This window comes from Homo sapiens, chromosome 5 (assembly GCF_000001405.40).
Source record: "Homo sapiens chromosome 5, GRCh38.p14 Primary Assembly".
In the NCBI taxonomy this organism is placed as follows: domain Eukaryota; kingdom Metazoa; phylum Chordata; class Mammalia; order Primates; family Hominidae; genus Homo; species Homo sapiens.
Genome location: NC_000005.10, coordinates 15,748,107 through 15,770,827, shown reverse-complemented (window position 1 = coordinate 15,770,827; position 22,721 = coordinate 15,748,107). Strand labels below are relative to the sequence as shown.

Genomic DNA, 22,721 nt, shown 5'->3' with positions numbered 1-22,721 from the left:
AGAGCCAGGCATGCTTAGATTCCAACACCAGACCCACTCATTCCTGTATGATGGTGGGGAAGTGAATTAATCTCCTTAAGCCTCAACCTCCCAATCTCTATAATAGGACAATGATAATTATACCTACAAGAATAATATGAAATGGTTCATGTAAAATTCTTGGATAAACAACAGGAAATGTTTTTGGCTTCAAGTAACAAAAGATGTAACATAGACTTAAACTAGTAAGAGTTTAAATTCATCTCATATGAAAAAGTCTGGAGGTAGTAGCTACTCGTTCGTTTATTGCCTCGCCACTGGCATCTCTGCAGCTTTCTTGGGCTCTGCCTCACGGTCGTAAGTTGGCTGCCAGAATTCCACTCACCATAGCTGTATTCAAGGTGGGTAAAAATGGATGGATAGGGAGGCACCAGATGCATTTGTTCCTTTTATCAGGAAAGCAAAGTTTTTCTAGAAATACTTTTTGTATCCTCTCACTTTATCTTCTTGGCAAGAACTGGCTGACATGGCCCTCCCCAGCTGCAAGGGCGAGTGGAAAATCAGAGACCAGGATGATCCATCACCCAGGCTGGGCACACTGGGGCCCTACGGAAAATCAGGGTTTGCATGGCAAGAAACCACAGGCAAGTGGACACCAGGACACAACTAACAGAGTTAGCTGCAGCCTGGCACCTGGTGACTTAATCGCTAAATACTGCTTTCTTCTTCCTCCCTCCGTCAATCAACAGAGCAAATCCATCTGGCTTTAATAGTCTGTGATTCCATATGGATCATTAAATTATAATCAAAAGTCAATACTATTGTAAAAATTCTCTAAACTGACCTACCAGAAGATAAATAAGGCATTAAAATTGTGATTCATGAAATATTCTTATCTCTACTTTGAGATAACTCCAGATTTACAAAAAAAGTTTCAAAGGTAGCACAATCGGGTCTCACATACCCTTCGGCCTGCTTACCTAAATGTTAAAATATTATATGATGATAGTAAGATTCCCAAAACTGGGAAAATAACACTGATATGGTATTATTAATAAATCTACAAATCTTCATTCAAATTTAGCCAACTGCTCACCAGTGTTTTTTTTTTTCGTGTCCAGAAACCCATCCAGGATCCTACTGAATTTATTTGTCATATCTGCTTCACCTCTTCCAGTCTAGATATAGCATATTTTTAAAGCGAAACATTTTTCTTATTTTGATATAGTTACCACAGAGCCATTTACTTTAGTATTTTGCGTGTGCATTTTGAATTGAAAAATTACATTACCATGTGGTGCCAGGAGGATTATATTGTTGATTTGCTCTTGCTGATTTGCTTTAACAGTCATTTGCATGGGGACTAAATGTACACTTCAGAAGAGAAAGTCTAGAAAATAAAGCTTCAGATGAGTAGCGCATGGATTAGTGAAGGATTTCTCCATCTCATCCTGGGTAATGCTAGATTTCTCCTATGGAGGATTTTCCTGCCCACAACACACACACTCATCATACCATAGAGGGTCAATTTTGAATGTTCCAGATGGATGCACTCAAGTTGTATGCTCAAATAATGATAATTAGCTACATTGATATGGCATTATTTATTAGAGGATTCCAATGCAGAATAGAATACTGGGCAGTTCCTGGAACTTCAGTCTTCTCGCACTCCCCCAGAAGGAGGCAGCTGGTGGCAGGGGGAGCCATGTGCCAAAGGCCATGTGGGAAGACAGCGGACAATGCAGTGAGGGATCTCCATGCAGCCTCCGTGCCTCTATGCCCTGCTGCCTGTCTGTTCATGGAATTAGGACAATGTATGACTTTGGCAAACAGATGTAAATATCATGCCAATATTTTGGATCAATACCTGGGAACATTTCCCTACAGCATATGTCTTATTGACTCAATTACTGTTTGTTGTTTTGATAAATTGAGCCCTGAGTGCCCTGAAAGGGAAGTCAAATGAATCAAAATGCCCACATTTCTAGACTTTGATGTATATCTCCATCTCTACTGTGTAGTCCATAGCAAATCCCCCAGCTGTTGCCTGCACAGCACTGTGGCCACTGTGCACAGGGAGGCAGGGCTGAGTGGAGCCCTGGCTGGACCAGCACTAGTGGAGAAACACACCACACCATGAGTGGACCACGCTCTGTGTGTACTATCATGACCAGCCCCATCCCAGAAGAAGGCAGTTCACCCCCACTCAAACTTTTCAATAACCTTTTCTTTCCACTGGTGGTTCTGTACTAAATTTCTATTGAAAGGCTGTTTGTATATCAGTGGCAGTGTTACTCTTTTTTTTCTTTTTTTTTTTTGAGACAGAGTCTCGCTCCGTCGCCCAGGCTAGAGTGCAGTGGCATGATCTCGGCTCACTGCGACCTCCACCTTTCAGATTCAAGCGATTCTCCTGTCTCAGCCTCCCGAGTAGCTGGGACAAGAAGTGCCTGCCACCACGCCAGGCTAATTTTTTGTATTTTCAGTAGGGACTGGGTTTCACCGTGTTAGCCAGGATGGTCTCGATCTCCTGACCTCATGATCCACCTGCCTCGGCCTCCCAAAGTGCTGGGATTACAGGTGTGAGTCACCGTGCCCAGCCAGCAATGTTACTGTTTAGGCAAATGATAGGTATCTACCTGCCTTTAGAATTCACTCTACCTGTAAAGTAGTAGGGTATCCAAACACATGGGAAAAAACAACATCACTTGAACGTATTCATTTCCCTCTACATCAGTGTAAAAACAAACAACAACCATTCCTGCTGCTGACACTAAACTGTGGACTTGTTAACCAAAGCAGTGAGATCTATTGTATATATTTCAAATACTATTATTATGAAGTTGAAGAGATAAAATCATGACAAATTTACTACATGACAAAAGTAGTAAATTTTTCTTGAAGCAAACATAACAAAAAGTATTAAAAATGTGTGATTATTAAGAAATTTCTTACCATAATGCACACCCATTCCTCCTGTTTTAGGTTCTAAAGACATTTTATGAACAATCATGAAGTTTATTTAAATATAATCTGTGTGTATGCTTTGCCAAGGGCATTTGTTTTTGTCATCAAATATTTATCTTCCCAGCTTCATGATATTGGAGTCTAATTATTATAAATATTACTAATAAAAGATTGTCAAAAATAATAGCAAATTAGTTAGCAAAGGCGTGAAATAAGGAATAAAAACAGAAGTTCTCCAGGAAATTGTTTATATTTTTCTTTTGCTATAATGAACCTCTAAATGTTTCATCTTGTCTTTCCATGTATGTTTGCTGGTTTTATTGTCTCCACTTTTCCTTACCTCTAGAGTAGCCCTGGGCATTTACAATCAAGATGTACACACTAAGTACCCATGGTGGTTCTGGGTCTTGGGGAGGCAGTTCCACCGAGCTGTAGCCTTCCTCACACCGCAAAGACTATGCCTCCTGCAGACAGGCACAATCTCCAGATTAGCAAATATGAGCCCAGTCTTAATTTTGATTCTGTGATGTGCTGTGGATATGAACCTTAAGGTAAAATTGTGTTAAATTGTTTCACAGTTGCTTAAGGCAGTCTTTTGAATGAAAATTATAGACTTTTTTTTTTTATCACATATTCTCACTTACAAGTGAGAGCTGAACAATGAGAATGCATGGACACATGGGGGCGTGACAACGCACACTGGGGGCTGTCGGGGGCAGTGTAGGAGAAGGGAGAGCATCAGGAAGAATAGCTAATGGCTGCTGGGCTGAATAACTAGCTGAAGGGTTGATATGTGCAGCAAATCACCATGGCACATGTTTGCCTATAAAACAAACCTACACATCCTGCACGGGTACCCCGGAACTTAAAATAAAAGTTCAAGAAAAAGAAACAGAAAAAAAAAGAAAATTACAGATTTTTAAAACAGAGTTGTTTACTAGTGGTGTGACAAGGAAAACCAAGGCTGCTTAGAGTAAAAAACTGTATTCTTCTCAGGTTGTTCTGCTCGTCACGGTAGAATGTAGTGGTGGGTTTACAGTGTATCGAGTTTCTTTATTAGAGTCTAATGATTAGAAAGCTTCAATTATTCTCCCTATTATTTCGTTGGTTTCGTGAAGACAGAGAAAAATCAAAATCAAATCTGAGACAAAATAAGTAGATAGGAAAGTCATGAATTACTCTTTCTATTTGGGAAGAGCAAATATGTTTTAAAGAAGAATATACCAGAGATAATGAAAGTCAAGTTTAAAATCCTAACAAGTTTTATTTCGAAACAATCATGAACTTGTACACGCCAATGGAAATGAAATCTCCAAAGCAGCCTTTTAAATATTAGATCTGGCTCCTGGCTACTAACTTATATTCACTCCCTCTGCCTTGTGGTGATGAAGCTCAGATAAACACAGTGGCTGTAAGCCAGTTCTGTAGAGCTAATTAAATCAGTAAACCTTGACTAGGTGCTTTCTTTATATAAGAATCCCTGTCTACGGATACAAAAATTAAGACATACTCCTAGTTCTCAAGTCTCTCAGTGCGCAGGTGGGAAGACAGAGATACCAAAGCACTACTACATTCAATATAGTGGGTATAACTCATGCTTAAGACATACTGGAAATACAGAGTAGACCCAAACTCTGCCTTTGGGATGAGGGAAAAGAAGTTTCATGGAAGGCTAGGAGGCCGATGTAAGGCATTCCGTATTTGGGGAATGGGAGGATTATCTGTAAAGGGGACAGCAGGACCAAAGAAGAAGCTAAGAAACAATATGGTGTTTGCAGAGAATACCAGGCAATTAATTCTATGATGCTGTTAGGTAGGTAGGTAGGTAGGTAGGTAGGTAGATAGACAGACAGACAGACAGACAGACAGATATAGATGAAGCTGGAGTGTTGGTTCAGGTCCCACAGACTATGGGAACGAACCTTGATTTATCTGAAACCAGGAAGCCGCTGTACACTGTAAGCATGGTCACGTGAGAGAGGCTGGATGAGGAAATGAGAGTAGGGTTGGAGAGCAGGGTACAGATATAAGATCTATTGGGGGTGGGGCTTGATGATGAGTTCAGTACTACAGTGTGAGTTTGAGATACCCGAAGGTGATCCAGGCAGAGATTCCCAGCAGATGGATGGATTCACACTCCTGGAACTCAGGAAAGAGCCATCAATTGGTACACAACTGGGCATTATTGTTGGTGGGAGGAAGCATGGTGCCACTTACCCTAGAGCTCAGCTCTCTATTTTATCATTCCCCGCACATGAAAGAGAAAAAAGAATCTCCCTTTGCTTGCACTACAATACAACCTCCTTCTTTAGAAAGTTTCTTGCAGCTATGAATTGTCACTTTAGGTTGTGAATGGGAGGACTTGTTCTGAATAGTAGAAATATTCAGAGAACCTGGTGTCATAACACACTGGCTAGGTATGCTCAGTTGTGATGCACATCTTGGGCATTTGTTACTATATTGATTATAACACTAAAGTCTCTGCTTGATGTGCTTTTCTGTCAGACAAAAGTGTGTGGTTGCAGCTACTGTGCTGGGGATTGGGTAAATCTTGGTATGGCCTCGGGAGTGCATAACATTTGTGAATGTCATCCATGTTCACTCATGTACGTCTCAGTACCAAGATCATAAAGGAAAAATTGAGAACCACTGTTCTGGAGACAGCAAATCATAGCTCTCAGGTCAAATCCGGCTGCCACTGCCTGTTCGTATATAGCTCACCTGTGCACCAAGAAGGGTTTTTACAGATGAACATTTTTTGAAAAATTGGTGTTAGAGAACAGTAACTTTGAATCCCATTTAAGGGAAATGTCATCTACTCCTCAAAAGAATTCCATTCTTCTCATTACTGGATCTATAATACAATAATTTTATTTAATTACATTATTATATGTTGAATTTCACCAATAAAAAATTTGTAGAAATTTGTCTTATCTCTTATTATGTAAGGAGATACATAATATTTGCAATTTGCCTCTTGGCTTCCAAAGACTAAAATATTTACAATCTGGCCCTTTAGAGGAAAAGCTTGTAAACTTCTGCTCTAGATTATGGTAAGGCAGCAAAATACACAGATAATTTACAATATGCCCAGCATTCTGCTAACTAAGAGTAATTTTCCCAGTTTGTATTTCAGTGCTCCCAATACCCTGTGGGGTGAACACTATAGTGGCCTTCATCACAGATGAGGAAACTAAAATGCAGGGATGGCCAATTACTTGTCCAAGCCCATGCATTTAATAAGTGAAAAAGCTGGGATTTGAAACTAACTGGTCTGGCCTCATGGCTGATGCTCCTGTTCTTAAGCCCCCCTCGGAGTTTCTGAGGTACTAACTCCTATCCCTCCTCATCACGGGCACACACGCTAACCTTTATGGATCCTAGAGGCCTCTGTACTTTTCCTCATTTCCTTTTCCCTTCTTACTTCTTTACACCTGTCTGCTTATAATGTTCACTTCTACAATGCTTATCTCTTAGCCAAAAGGTGACACTCATCTCAGTTTGAGAAAATGATGAGAAAACACATCTCTCTATACTTGCATTTTCATTTAATCTAATTGATATGTATTCAAATAGTAATAGTATCTTGTGGTCAAAATACAGGAAATGTTCTCCATTCACATCACGTTGTCCTGCTTCTGATCTATGGAACCAGAAATATGAGGTCAGTCTCCATTTTATGAAACACTTTCCAACAACATATTGATACTCAATCTTTGGTTTATGTGATAGGGAATTTTAGATGTCAACTTAACTGGACTAGGAGATACCCAGATAAATAGTAAAGCTTTTTTGAGTCTGTCTGTGAGACTCAAACTGTCTGTGAGACTTAGAACTCCAAACTGTAGAGCCTTCAGGCTCTGGGGCTTACACCAGCAGTCCTCTAAGTTCTCAGGCCTCCATTCAGCCTTAGGCTAAAAGTTATGCCATCTGCTCCCCTGGTTCTCAGGCCTTTGACTCAGACTAAATTACATCACCAGTGCTCCTGGCTCTGCAGCTTGCAGATAGCATATTGTGGGACTAGCCACCATAATTGCAGGAGCCTATTCCCATAATAAATCCCTTCTCATATAGCTCTATCTGTATGTTTTTTATTGGTTCTTTCTCTCTGGATAACTCTGCCCAAAACAGTTTATAATTGTTATTAATGAGGATCAAATTGAACATCACGCATTTTGTTTTCAACTCAAAAGTGAGTTCAAATACCTTCCTCAGAATAGAAACCTATAAAACCAAGATAAAAAATAATGCTCTGATGTAGAGAAAGAAAATCATTCTATGTAACCTATGTAATATTATGAGATTGCTATTATGGATTTCCTTTCATCAAAGGAATTCCTATGGGACTTACCACAAATTATATTCGATGTAGTCTCTCAACAAAAGACCAATAACCTGGAACTCGCCAAAAATTTTACAGATGCCAACGTACTTTGGTCCAAAAAGAGAGCCAAATTTGCAGCCTGTATCTTCTTACGTTTCAAAAATTCTAACACACTTATTTATGTAAATTGTTAAGTAACAATAGCTGACTTTATCACGTCTACCATATATTACACATCATATAAGCAGGATCTAACTTACTGTAAATAAAAACAGCATCCTATTTCATAGATGATATACACTAAGGCACAGGGGGATTACATGCTTTTAGTTAAGCACTTAGTTGAGTAGTATCCACAGGTGGCAAGTGCGAAGGGCTGGGATTTACACCTAGGATTATCTTATGCTCTTAAGCACTATACATATTGCCTCTCCATTTTAAGTCCACAAGAAATTAGAAACCAAAATTTTGGGAGATGGAAGGGTCGCTAGATGTAGCCCAGTGATAAAAATGAAATGTACTTGATAGCAGTGTTAGAGCAAGAGAGAAAAAACAAATTAAAAACAAGGACTCAAAAGTCAGAGCAATTTGGGGCCATTTAAGAAGGGAAAAAACTTCAAACATCTCAAAAGCCACTGTACATCACTGTATATCAGCATAAAGCAATAATTAGATTTTACACGAGGGTCATAAATTATCAAGGCTCAATTCAATTAGCATAAACTGTTTAGGAAGACACTACGTAATGCATTTCAGATATGTTTCAACCAAAATGTTAAATTAAAAATTACTTATAAACAAGTTTATAAGCCTTTCAGCATTCTGAAAAACTTAGACAATTGAAAATATTTCATTCTCTCAGCAGTACGCTGTTTTGCAAGAATTTAATTAACTTTCAAAACAACTCTAAGAGAGAGCATTGCTTTTATCCTCTTTTTACAGATTTATGTTTACAAATGAAGAAAGTGAGGCTTAGGGGAGGTTAAATAATACACCCGAGGTCACAGAGCTAATAATATTAAGTAGCCCAGCTGGGATATGAATACAGAACTTTAAATCTACTCTGAGTAAATTAAAAACCTAGACTGGAACTGCTCATTAAGAAAATGGCTGTGCTATGTGGATTTCCAACATGGATCTTAGTGATCCCTTCATCCTGCTCCCAGGCATTCCCCCACCCTACAAGGGTGCTTCTAACCAACAGAATCTGGCAAAGGTGAAGAGGTGTTACTTCTGTGGTTAGGTTATAAAAGGCTATAACTTCCGTCTTGCTAGCAGACACTCTGTCTTTCTGTCTTTGACGAAGCAAGCTGCCATGTTGGAGAGGTCCCATGACAAGGAACTGAGGATGGTCTCTGGCCAACAGAGAAGAACTTCAGCTTTCATCCTCACAACCTGTGAAAAACTGAATCCTGCTATCAGCTATGTGAGTTTAGAAGCAGATCCCCTCCCAGTCAAACGCTGGGTGTCCACAGCCCAGTCTACACCTTAAGACCCTGAAGCTGAGGACCCAACTCAGTCTTACCTGGATTCCTGACCCACAGAAACTGTGAGATAATGAACGTGTGTTGCATGATGCTGCTAAGTTTTTTGGGGTTATTTGTTACACAGCAATTGATAACTTGATATAGTGACACTTTAGTATTGAGAACCCACAATTTCAAAAGAAGATGAAGCACTTTTATTCAAAAAAGCAATTCAAACATCTTTTAAAACAATTTTCAGCCTGACATGGTGGCTCACACCTGCCACTTTGAGAGGCCAAAGTGGGCAGATCACTCGAGTCCAGGAGTTTGAGACCCAGCCTGGGCAAAATAGCAAAATCCCATCTCTACTAAAAATACAAAAACTTAGCTGGGTGTGGTGGAGTACACCTACAGTCCCAGCTACTTGGGAGGCTGAGGTGGGAGAATCACCTGAGCCCAGGAGATGGAGGCTGCAGTGAGCAGAGATCGTGCTATAGCACTCTAACCTGGACAACCGGAGTGAGACCCTGTTTCAAAAAAATAAATAAATAATAATTTACAACTAGGATTGACTTTTAAATATTTTTAGGAAAAAAGGCAAATAAATAAAGGTGTAGTTCTGGAAGTGAAGAGATTCAATGGGCTGAAACTAATAAATCTTTTGTTTCCTACCTTCTCCAAGTTCAAGGTTGTAAAGAATTGGGAAGCCCAGACACAGGGCAGGAGAACATCTTTGGGAGTCCAGAGTCCCTGTTCATGGCAATCTCCTTCCTGAACACGGGATTATGATATTTTTGGCACCAAGACAGCCATAAACAATTATTTTTAAAGAGAGGAAAAAGGAAATTACCTACTCAAAAAATTAATGCGGTAGATTACTTAGTAAGCAATGCTGAAGCAGTGGAAAGGAAATGGAAAGAACAGACTGCCTCTCATGTCAACTCAATGCTACCTTTTAAACACTCCTCTGTCCACAGGCACATATGTTGTACCTGCCCAAGACAACAGGATAAAAAGGTGGTTGTCCAGAAGAAAAATAAATGACTGTCATGGCTGCCCCATTTCTTACTCTTTCATTTTCCCATTCATGCAATATTCGTGTAATTGTCTAACTTCCAATGATCACTCTGAAATATGGGACTGCTTTTTTTTTTTCTGTCTCATTCTTTAATTGTTGTTAGCCTATTACAGGTTTCTGCAATATTTCCCATTTGACATTTTGCTAAGTGGGAGTTAATTATTTTGTTCAATATACTTATTGATCCAAATAATCAATGACTTAAGAGTTAAGTTTGTCCTCATTACTACTACTTCTGCCATCCTATTCCCTCCACCAGTTTATCTCAACAGAGACAATTTTTGCAGTGAACTCCTGGATAATGCTTTGCTCTCTACCTTCCAGACTTAACCCATGACTCCAGGGGATGGCATCTTTGTACTGCAAAGATGTTCCTGGGTCCAGAAGGCTTCATCCCTTAGTTTTCACATCTCACCTTTATTATTTGAAATCCAAACAAGAAGTCAAAAAGAGTTTATTTCCTAGGTAAAGCTCAATGTGTTAGGCAATGATGAGCCTGTGAAAAACCTCAGCAGGTATACAGCTGAAGCATGACGGACCTGAATACTTTCATCTAGGACTCTCTCAACTTTTTTCTTTTTTTTTTTTTTGCTTTTCCAAAATGCAAATAATTCAAGTGAACTTTGTGTTATATATGGTAGATGAGTGCCTGAAGTGAATATATAATCAATATATTATAAGGTAAAATATATTTTCACTACCTCATATAAGGGTATACCACAGCTAATCATTTTCCTATGACATGAATAACTGCAGAATGATCAGCTATGGTTTGTGCATGCTTTGTAGGTGTGCACAATGGGTATAAAACTCTCCAGACAATTTAGAGAGAACAGCTGACTCTTACCCCAATAGGGGGCTGGAGGCTTCTCCCAGCAATGCCTCAAACCTGCTTTGTGACTTTCTGGACATTCATTTTTTCATTCTAACAAAAAAACAAGGATTAAAGCAAATAATTGAAAAAAAAAATGAAATAATTCTCAAAGGTGCCTTCTGGCTTTGAAATGGAATGGTTCTATGGCAGTCATTGGTTCATTCATTGATTCCACCTAGTAAAATGTTAAATACTTTGTTTTACTTATATTTAATTTTCCAGGTGAAAGGTGTAGGAGGTACTATATCGTTCTGAAATAATTCTGGTCATATCTGCCTCCTTTCTAACTAGACATTCAGATCCTATGACCAGACACCAGCATGCAATGGAATTTAATCTCCATGGGGGCAGAGACTTTGTCTATTTTGTTCACTGTCATTTTCTCAGTGTCCAGTACACAGTGATAAACATTTTCTGAACAAAAAATAAATGAATGAATGCATGAATGAACATCTATTGAAATTAATGTCATCTATACCTATCAGAGAACAATATAAACATCTCACAAATGATTGTGGGTCTTAATAGATAATTTACATTTCCTGAATATACACGACCGAGTCCGGAAATTTAAAAATATATATTTTACAAAGCATAATTTCAGTGAGTGATTGTTTTGTTACTATGTACAAGTAAGGATGTTTCTTCAAATTTAAAAGCTTTGTCAACATCATGGACTAAGTTATTTCAAAGGCAGTCAATGGGAATTCTGGGAAAATTACATCTAAAAAAGAGGAAAAATGATTTCATTATCATAATCCTCTTTCAAGTTTACAGTTCAGTTGTGATTAAAAAAAAGTGAGGAAAGTTTAAATGAAATTATTTAATAGGACTGGATTCCATGTTAATTGTGGATTCCATACTATTTACACTTTTTCATTTAAAGAGTCTTTAAAAATGTGGCTTGCCATTGATAGAATTATATTAACACAGCATTCTGACACAATCTTATTGCAATTTCAAGAGTAGGAAAAGCCGAAGGAATGAACTGCTACTAAATAAAATATAGCCTCATGTTTGCAGACACCTTACTGGTTAATCAATGGCTTATAGTATGTGCCTCAGGCTTATGTGTGGCCACGATTATTTTAACAAATCCAAGAAAGTATAATAACCTCTTGGCAGATACATATGCTAGCATATTTCAAATGTGTGTAGTTGCTATTCTAAAGACATGTATTTTAAAGATTTAATAAAATAATAATAGCTGCTTGTCATGTGTTTTCTAAATCAATGGACACTAAAATTATAACTACTCTAAAGTGTAAATCCATAGCATGACTTTTCAAAAACTTACCATAATTAGTTTTATTATTATTTTTCTTAATAGAGAAGCAATTCGAGTTAATTGCACAATGAAAGTAAATAAAAATAATACCTACAATCACACACAACAAGACAGAGACAATCCCTTAAACACCTTGCTGTGGGTACATTTTATTAAGTCCGTGTTAAACAAAAATGAAATCACAAGCTTTGTAAGTGGCTTTTTAAAACAAATATGCTGTGAAAAGCTTTCTATATAAATAGATGCATTTCTTTAACATGTTAATTGTTGCAAAATGGTCCATTAGGTATAAGAACCATAATATATCTATCCGGCCCTTTGTTTTTGTATATTTGGCACTTTAGAAAACATTCATTTACAACAGGGTATTTTGATCTCAATACTATTGACACTTTGGGCTGGATAAAAATGTTCCTACCTGGTATTATGGTCACTACTTGAGTCACAGGGTCATTAGAAGCCCAAATTTCAGCATCAGGCAATATACCCATATACCAAACCTGCACATGTACCTGCTGATTCTAAAATTAAAAAAAAAAAAATGCCCTTGTTTATAAAGTCCTTTCTCGCCTTAAGACTATATAAAGATTAAATCATATCTCCTTAAAGTACTTTTTCTCTCTGATTTTTAGAAATTTGAGTATTTTAAGCATTTGATACTTATTTCTTTTTTAGTAAGATATGAGGCGATTTTAAAAATATTCTGATGGTAAAGAAAGAGGCCCCAGTCTTTGGAAAAATGGGACACCCTGGACTTGGTGGTCATCATGTTTTCTGCCTGCCAACTCTACTTGGCTGTTTGATTCCATGGTGCTACCTGTTATCTCCCTCATCTTTATCGTAATTTCACCGTGAACGCGTGCCAAGACAAAGAGAATGTAACAGGAGAACAGAGGAAGAGAAGGGAACCATTTGGGCTCATCTGTAAACGAAAATAGGAATCATCTAGCTGTGGGGAGGAAAGGGATATGCCATACAGAGAGGCTGACTGAGCCTGCTTGACGTTGGCATGAATTATGCCTCCTTCCCACTTAGCTGCATCCTTCAGCCCTTTGAGATTTCTGGAGTACCTTAAGTGCACAAAACGTTTCCACATATGTAACCAACTTCTATCCTCAAAAGAACGGTCATGGAAATTCTAGTCATTTTCAGTTTACAAATGACAGAACAGCAGTTCAGTATTTCACAGCCATCCTGCAGCTACTGGATGACAGAGCTGGAAGGCAGAGAAAATCTGAGATTCTTCTGTGCATCACCTCTAGCTCTATCACAACAACTTGAAAGCACCTGGAAACAAATCTTTTTTTTTTTTTTTCCTGAGAAAATAAAATCTACAGAGTTTCAGCAGGAATGTAAATTAGTTTTCTGTTTGTCACAGGGAATTGATGTCTTCTGGACTCCATAACTCTCTTTGAGATTAGTATCTGAAGTTCGAGAGCCTCCTAGGAGTAGAACAAGAATTCAAAGCATTCTTCAAGAAATGCAAAGGAATGTAAGTGCCCAGGTCTTAGAGTCTGTACAGCTTTAGTCAATTTCCTCCTAATAGCCTCTTTGAACTGAGTCAAAGGCTTCTCTGGTTTTGAGTTATTCCTACATTATTTCAATAATTTTTCTTACCCACAAACCTTGCCTTTAAAGAAAACTCTCTCTCTCTCTCCTATGAAAGGATTGTGAAATAGGAGTAAGACACAGAACTTGAAATGACAAGGCAGCTATTGCTCATTTACCCCAATTCCTACATCCACTCACTGATTTACTTTTTGAGGTTCACAGAAACACCATTTATGTTTTTTGTAGGCACTGCTGCTGAATAAAGGAGAACTTCTCACCTCCAACCCTCTCTTCCAGAAAAAACTGTTTAGAAAACCTTCATATTTACTCTTCCGTTCAAACTATTGGCCCTGATTTTTACAGATAATCAAAAGTCAGGCTGCCAAACTTATTTTCTTTGAATTTGGAATATCTTTTAAAATTTGCCTTTTTCTTTCTTATTATTAGTCCATAAAGGCTATTTCTAGTATTAAACAATGCTTAAGAATAGCTTGGATCCATGAAAACTTTTGAGAAGGAGGACAAAGCAGACGGAACCTAATCTCTGAACAATTTCAATTACATCTTTTACAAGTGGCTGTTGGCTAGTCATTAAAAATGAGCCATTCACACTTGTGGACACCTTTTTTGCCATGCAGACTTGACTTGCAAAGCCTTTATTATCCCTGGTTAAGAACAGCACAGCTAATAAAAACGAATCATATGGCTTTAAACTACTTGCATCCAACAGGGACATCCTAAAAATGGTCCGGATAGTGACTTCATGACCATTTAGGCTGCAAGTGCCATAGTTACTAATGAGAACAGATATTTCCAAATGGCGGCAATAGATTATGAAAATGGAGAAAGGAAAGAGAGTAATTTACTTTCAGCTAACACTGAAATGCTTATAAGGATGAGGTAAGTAAGATTTTTAAAACCGGTCTGTTATCATAAAACTAAAGTATTCCCATTTACATGAAGGTAGAAAGAAATATGGAGAGTAAAAACATTTTTCTTAGCTGCTTTTTTGCTTCCTCTTAATATAAGGAATTGTTAAATATCATGTATAAAGTTTACATTTTTACAGTGAAATATATTTATGTAAAATATTTGAAAACACCATCTAGACTTAGTGAAAAAAAAGTCTGAGCAGGGTCTTGGGAAAATTTTTTAGATTTCAGAAACACATAAATCAGTAACTAGATTGAACTGCTTTCAGGCTAATCCTAGAACTGTGAAAATTCTTAGTACAGCTGCAAATACCAATTTACATGTTATTTAGTAATAAGTAAACTTGGCAAACTCTCATTAAACAGATGCTTTTAATGCAACCAGCCAGTAGGGCAGTAGGGAAGTCTAGAAGCTGGTCTCTCTCTTCTCTCTCTGACTTCTCCTCCACTGCTATGGAGAACTGGGAGCAGTTGATGCAATACACACAAGTATCTTCTGTGCTAGGCACTGGATTGCCACAAACGTCTTCAGTGCCAGCCTTTCTCAGGTTATTTTACAGCATTCTGATTGGCTGATAAAACATCTGGTTAGTTCCTATTGCCTAAGAATTTGTACTGGCCAGTGATTTTTTACTGGCTGTTTGGCTATTTCTAGGTGTAATGAAAAGTGTTCACCTTGATGGAGAAAGAAGGTAAGAAGCCAAGGATATTTCTACTGGATGTGCTTTTTGAAAACTGTTTTCGGTTAAATTACAAACTGAGGCTTCCTCGGCTTTGTTGCCCAAGCAAAATATAGCTATTTGCAGACTGCGATATAATTGTTGGTGTGCAGAAACTGCCTTTTTAAAGAACTACTGATCTAATCTAACCTACTCATTAGATAGATGGGACAACACAATTTATATCTGTATATGGGAGACACAGAGAGAAAGAGAGAGAGAGAAAATCACACACATATACACACACGCACACACACAGAGCAAAGCTAGCTGGTCTTTGGAAATCCATCTTTCATGCCTATTCATTCATGTTTTCAATTCTTCTACCCTCTCTTTTGATAAGAGAAGTTCTTGGATGGAATATATTGATTCTCCCTAATTACATATTTTTGTTAATGCCCACAGTACCATATTATCCACTAAAATACAAAATACAATTTAATTTCTCCTGAGCTGAGCCTTTTTCAAGGCTTACAGGGTATATATTTACAAACTTGTTTTCAGGCAATGGTCTAGTATACAAATTTGAGGGGCATGAGGTTTTGGAAAGTGTTTCAATAATTTGGAAGTTGAACAACAGAGGCAGAAGGGATTTCCTAAATATGAAGAAATAAACTCAAGCCATTCCCCTTTATTTTCCCATCAGAGAGCATTCAAGAAAAACATCACAACTAAAAATAGTTCCAATCAGTCTCTCTCACTTCCAAGCCTGCATCTAGAAGTCAGGTACTTTGGTCATTGTAGTGAGCAAGTGTTGTCCTGTGTTGAGCAGGAACTGAAATGTACTTGAAAACCTTGTGGGTGAGGTTTGAAAAAAACAAGGATTTAATGATTTCCAGAATCACTAGAAGAGCCTAGTAGAGTCTAGACAACAAAGAAAAATGCCACCACTGTTCTTAGTTAATAATGTACGTGCTTGTGCTTGTATAGTTACTTCACTATTCCCGAAGGACAGTAGAGATACAGATACAACTAGAGCCTATTTAATTTCATTTTACTTTTAGAATAGTACAGTTTTCTCATTGGTATAAAAAGCTACATTAATGGTAGCAATGCAAGTGGCATTTATTGGTTGCCCGGTGTCTAACTTGTGAAATCAATCAAAATCTTCTTTTTCCCGTATCCAATATGTACATAAGCCTGTTGAAATGTGTCACATCATTTACACTGATCTCATCAGTCCAACCAAATGCTCAGCTTGCTCTAGCCACCACCATGTGATGCCCCTGCTGCTGGACTCCAATACACCAACTCTTGGTTGGGGGGTTTGACCACTCAGAGATACTGCTAATATTTGGGCCATCCTAAAACCATATGACTCTATTGATTCAAATTTCTGCTCTTATTCAGTTCTACTCGTAGCACTTGCCCATTGGACCCATCACAGCCAATGCATTCTGAAGCTCTAAGCAGATCATTCTAGCCACAGAGCATAAAAGTCACCCAATGTTAATACCAGAAGTAGTCAGAGAAATCATCCAATCCAGTGATTCTCAAAGTGTGCTCCCCACACCAGCATCATTATCACCTGGGACCATGTTAGACAGGCAAATTTGCAGATTTCCACCCAAGCTTTACTGAATATGGTAATGAGGTCCAGTGATTCTGTTGCACATTCAAATTTGAGAACCACTGATTGAATTAATCCAACACTTTTTGTAGATGAGAATGCTGAGAGTCATGAAAGTTAAATGAGTTATCTATGGCCCCACGCCCAGTTGCTGGTGAAGTCAAGGCTAGAGCCTATATCTGATGACCAGTCCAGGACTTTCCATGTTCCAGAATAGCATTATTGTTTATTATGCCATAGTTTGTGGACTTCTGTCTTAAAAAAATAAATATATGCTAATAAATGTAAGACTTTTGAAGGGGGATGATCCCACTGCTTAATTCCATTATTTTTACTTCCCCTGCAGACAGCTAAGTCTTCTAAGAAACAACAAATATAGCCACTAGAACTACATCAAAGTACCTCACTATGTCTGAATAATATTTTTCAATAATAAGACAAGTAATGAATTTATACTAAAGTTCTGAAAGGAGAAAAACAATACAATGTAGATCTATGGATTTGATCTGTAGAAAAAATAGCCATGAGCATCTCCTGTCCACACCTCCTTCTCTCCCAATTAAAATAAAAATCACAAGAAATTTTCACAATGATGAGGGCTTTTAAACTTGTCTTGTGTGCATATTTTGGAGCCTTTGATGTATGCTCACAGATGAGGAAGAAAGAAGGCCAGTTATGATCAACCGCTCTGCTAAGTCACAAATACTAACATTAAAAATGTAGATCATCTAAAGTAGAGGTCAAATATTCCCCTTGATCGTCCTTGAGCCAATTTGGATAGCTGATTATTCATTTGCCAAAATAAGCTCTCAAAGACACAAATGGTCTGCTGAAAGAACAAAGTAGGAGAATTGAAGCGCTCATTGAATTCATCAGTCACAAGCACTATACGGGGAAAAAAAGAGAGAGTGTGTCCTAGAGAGCGTGTGTCTGGCAGACTGTCCAGCCCCCGCCTGCTCCCTAGGGAGGTTCCAGCCCTCCCTGCAAGAGGAGTTATAATCCTCAGAGTCTGCCTGCCACAGAGTAGCCAAGTGCTTCTTGAATTGCAGCGGCGAAAATGTTCAAGGTCTTATCACAACAGCCACAAAAACAACTTTGCCCTAACGTCAACATTTTGCTGAAAACAAAGATTGATTAAACTAAGGACAAATCCCTGGACACACCACTGAAATAAAAACGAACAATGATAGTGAAAGTACAGTGGTCCCTGAAGTAGTTTACAGTTCGCCAAGAACCTTCTAGAAGGATAACTTGTGGTTGACGAATTTAAGATGTGACTGTAAAAGAAGCCTTGAGGAACTGAGGTTAGGGGTGAATTTATACAAGTCTATATAAATATTCATACATTTACTAAAATGAAGTAATAAAAAAGTACAGTAAACAAAGCACTGCTGATTCAATGAGAAGTCTGCAAAGTCCTTTATTGCATATCAAGATGCATATTGTTTCTGGACTTCAAAAAAAATTACAACTCTTAATGCTTTTGAAATCCTATATTCTCACCTCCTGTTACTTGTCTTGGTCCTGGTGGGTCAGAGAAATCCAATGGCTTGGGATAAAAATAAAATAAAATAAAATGCACTGAGAAACTGAGGTCTGTTGACTATTTCTCAATCTGGGTTTCTTTTACCCAACATTTTCTCCCCATGAAAACTACCTGACAAAGCACAGGCCCCCAGCCTTTCTCACCAACTTAGCTCTGTCCACTGAAAATAGAGATCATCTTAAGCATATGTCTCCTTCCATTTTTCCCCCAAGATTTGAATTCAAAAGCCTCTAACCCCTTCCCTGCAATTTTATTTTATTTTTATTATTATACTTTAAGTTCCGGGTTACATGTGCAGAACGTGCAGTTTTGTTACGTAGGTATATGTCACCTACATTAGTTATTTCTCCTAATGTTATCCCTCCTAGCCCCCTGCAATTTTATTAAACATTCTATTTTGTGTTTTCACCAGTACATACACTTCCATGTGAAGCAATGTGTAAATTCAGTGCACTAGAAATTAAAATTCTGAAGATCGACATGAAATAAACTCAAGGTCTTCAAACTTTTGCAAAAGGAGCCATGAAACTTATAATTCCTTAGTGAGGTAAAATGATTTTTCTATTACTTCATTCTGTGGTATTTCCAGAGAGACATTGGGTCTCCCTTATTCATACTGACTCTATGGATTCTCCATTCTTAATCTGTTACCAGATTCCTGCTGCTGGGTAATTATTATGCACCCAGTTTAATACTAGTCTGAGAAAAACAAACATGACTTCAAATGTTAATCTGCTACAAAAGTAATGAGAGCAAATCCTCCAAACACCAAACGCAAATGCATTTTTAAGGTGAGCCGTTGTTTCAGATCTTGCCCCTTGCACCCCTCCCTTTGACATATATTATTAAAAATCGACAATGAATCATAAGTTTCACCTGCTTTGACTATGGTAAGGTTCCCTCTCCAAAATGACAGGAAAAGAATGTGATTCCCTTCTATTTGTGTGTAAGTTGTATGGTCTCTAATATTCACTATTCTTATAAATGAGTCAAAACTCAGCGAGAAGATATCAAAATCCTTAGATTTCAAACAAACATAGCCAAGGGTTTTCTGAATCAAAACCATTTGTAGATGTAAGTCTATAAATGACTCCCTTGAGCAGCCTGAAATCTGGCCTGGTCTTCAAAGCAGCTAAGTTCTCATCTAAACCTCCATGTTTACAGAATCCTTCCTTTCAAACATTATCCACCACGTCATATCCTTCAGTCCCCTAATGGTCCATTTCATGCAACCCAAATTCCAGTTACCATCTGACCACTGATCAAAGAAAAAGTGAAAAGAAAAATTTTTACCACTGGGCTAGAGCCTTATGGGAACAAAAGGCAAGTGTTCAATAGTGTAACAATTATGATAGCCCAATTATACAGAAGTCTAGCTTCACTGAACATCATGGAAATATCTCTGAAAGCACACAATGGTCAGAAATCATAGCACCTTGGAACCACAACACGGAAACAGAAATGTGTTTGATGCATTATGTCTTTTTGAAAAAAAAAATCATCATTCTTTTTCAATGGAACAGGTATAAAGCTGTCACAGTCCTAGAATAGGAATGACTGGATTCAATAATTTATGTCATGTAGGTTTGTGCATTGTGTCTTTCCAGATGTCAAAGGTAGACCAAGTGTCAGTCCCACTTCTGCCAGTGAACTTCAGATCTGCAGTCCACCTACATGAGCTTCTCACTGCTATCTGTTTTAGAAACTTTATTTTTGGTTTTCTGTGCTCTTGTATGCTTTGCTCCAGAACTGTGGTTAGGGATAGTGATGGTGGTATATAGAAACTGGAGTAAGGCAGCCGCTCATGACGTTAGGGCAATAGTGATCCAAAACCCCCAAAACAGGAAAAAAAAATGCACAAGCAACCTTTTGACTGACATGGCCCAAGACATAGGCTTCAGGTGCCCAAAGGCAAGAAAAGCAAAATAAAACAAAAAGAAGCAGGAAACAGCTCATAAATTCAGAATGGAGCTTTTAGATTAAATGTTCAATCAGAGACTTGATAGAAACTGCAGGTGGGGCTGCAGGAAGTGCTAGTCCTATAGGGGGTAACATGCTTCCCTTTACACTAAACCAAGCTACTAGCAAAGACTCAAGGTCAGAGGATAGTGTGATAGCAAGTAGTACAAGAAGGCACATGTCCTCCTCCCCATTGTGAGGTCAGCTGGAGCATTCTGCAAGAGGAAGAAAGCCTAGTCCAAGGCACTGGTACTATTTAAACCAGGTCACTACTATCTGCACCTAAGGAAGAAATGTTGAGTAATTTATTAGTTTTCACTTACAGTGTATAGTTATTATTAGCTTTACATCATCAACTTTAAAAATGCAAGCTCCACTAGATTATAAGCATCACTATATAAATTCTTTGAGGGAAGGGATCTTTACTTATTTTATTCCTTGGTATACTCAAGCACCTAAAATAGACACAAAGAAGGCTCTTATGTTTCTTCAGTAAATAAAAACGAAACAGAATCCTCATCTCAAAGATATTACTCAAGCCAGGCTGAAGCATAAGTCTGTGCAGGTTGTGCCTCAAACAAAAATGCCTGGCCCAGAGGGCAGTGTAAGGCTGGAATCCAGCCAGTGTCCCCACCAAAACTTGTCCCTTACCTGCAAGTATACAGCTCAGAAAAAGGTGTCATCTGCCTAATGAGGAAGATTTTTTTTGTAGGCAGAGTCTCCTGGGCTCTTCAAGGCCCAGGGCTCTGGGCTCTGTCAAGGCAAGTTTCCCCAGGAGGGTATTTTGGTGAGCTGGGTAAGTCAAGCCACAGGGCACTCAGATATAATCCAATGCATTACATGGAAACGATTCTACAATTCAGACATCCCATCAGCTATTTTCATTACTGATGTCTTCCTGCATCAACACTGCTGTGCAGTGACTGAGGATACACACTTTCTTTTTTTTTTGAGACGGAGTCTCGCTCTGTCCCCCAGGCTGGAGTGCAGTGGCGCAATCTCGGCTCACTGCAAGCTCCGCCTCCTGGGTTCACGCCATTCTCCTGCCTCAGCCTCCCGAGTAGCTGGGACTACGGGCGCCCGCAACCACGCCTGGCTAATTTTTTGTATTTTTTAACAGAGATGGGGTTTCACCGTGTTAGCCAGAATTGTCTCGATCTCCTGACCTCGTGATTCGCCCGCCTTGGCTTCACAAAGTGCTGGGATTACAGGCGTGAGCCACCGCACCCAGCCGAGGATACACACTTATAACAAGTTTGTCAATAAATCCTTCTAAGTGTAACTCACAAGTTGAATTTGGACTCTTGAATTTTTTTTTTTTTTTTTTTTTTTTGAGACAGAGTCTCACTCTGTTGGCCAGGCTGGAGTGCAGTGGCATGATCTCTGCTCACTGCAACCTCTGTCTCCTGGGCTCAAGCAATTCTCCTGCCTCAGCCTCCCAAGTAGCTGGGACTACAGGCATGTGCCACCATGCCCGGCTAATTTTTATATTTTTAGTAGAGACAGGGTTTCAGCATGTTGGCCAGGCTGGTCTCTAACTCCTGACCTCAGGTAATCTGCCCCACTCAGCCTCCTAAAGTGCTGGGATTACAGGCATAAGCCACCGTGCGAGGCTAACTGTTGAAATCTTAAAGACATGTTAGCCATGGCAACACTTTAGGAGGCCAAGGAAGGACAATCACTTGAGGCCAGGAGTTTGAGAAAAAAATTAGCCAAGTATAGTGGTACATGCTTATAGTCCCAGCTACTTGGGAGGCTAAAGTGGGAATATCACTTGAGTCCCCAAGTTTGAGCCTGCAGTGAGCTATGATTGCATCACTGCACTCTAGCCTGGATGACAGAGCGAGACCCTATCAAAAGAAACAAACAAACAAAAAAAATTAGCCCTTGTATTAGTCTGTTCTCATGCTGCTAATAAAGACATATTCGAGACTGGGTAATTTATAAAGGAAAGAGGTTTAAGGGACTCATAGTTCCACATGGCTGGGGAGGCCTCACAATCATGACAGAAGGCAAAAGAGAAGCAAACACATGGTGTCAGGCAAGAGAGGGCTTATGTAGGGGAACTCCCATTTACAAAACCATCAGATCTTGTAAGACTTATTCACTACCAGGAGAACAGTATGGGGGAAACCCCTATGATTCAATTATCTCCACCTGGCCCCACCCTTGACACGTGGTGATTATTATAATTCAAGGTGAGATGTGGGTGGGGACACAATCAACCTGAAAACATCTACAATATTTAAGTGGTGAGAAACATTAGCATGGAGGACACAATAATGAAGTACAAGGCAAAGTTCTTTAACTCTGGCACTTTTGGCATCTGGGGCCAGATAACTGTTTGTTGTCAGGGCCTGTCCTGTGCATTGCAGGATGTTAAACAGCATCCCTACTCTCTACCCACAAGATGCCAGTAGTACCTCACCCCCTCCCAGTTATATCAGAATTCCTCTAGACTTTTCCAGGTG

General features: G+C 38.8%; 1 protein-coding gene and 1 long non-coding RNA gene across 6 annotated transcripts in view; one reads left to right on the top strand and one right to left on the bottom strand.

Moving 5' to 3' along the window:
- Positions 1-22,721, bottom strand: part of FBXL7 (F-box and leucine rich repeat protein 7) — a 439,614-nt gene that overhangs the window by 168,966 nt on the left and 247,927 nt on the right. The gene's annotated exons all lie outside the window — the stretch shown is intronic.
- Positions 1,032-22,721, top strand: part of LOC124900946 (uncharacterized) — a 35,367-nt gene continuing 13,677 nt past the window's right edge. The window contains exon 1 of the long non-coding RNA XR_007058706.1: positions 1,032-22,718. This is a non-coding gene — a long non-coding RNA (uncharacterized LOC124900946). The remainder of the gene's footprint in view (positions 22,719-22,721) is intronic.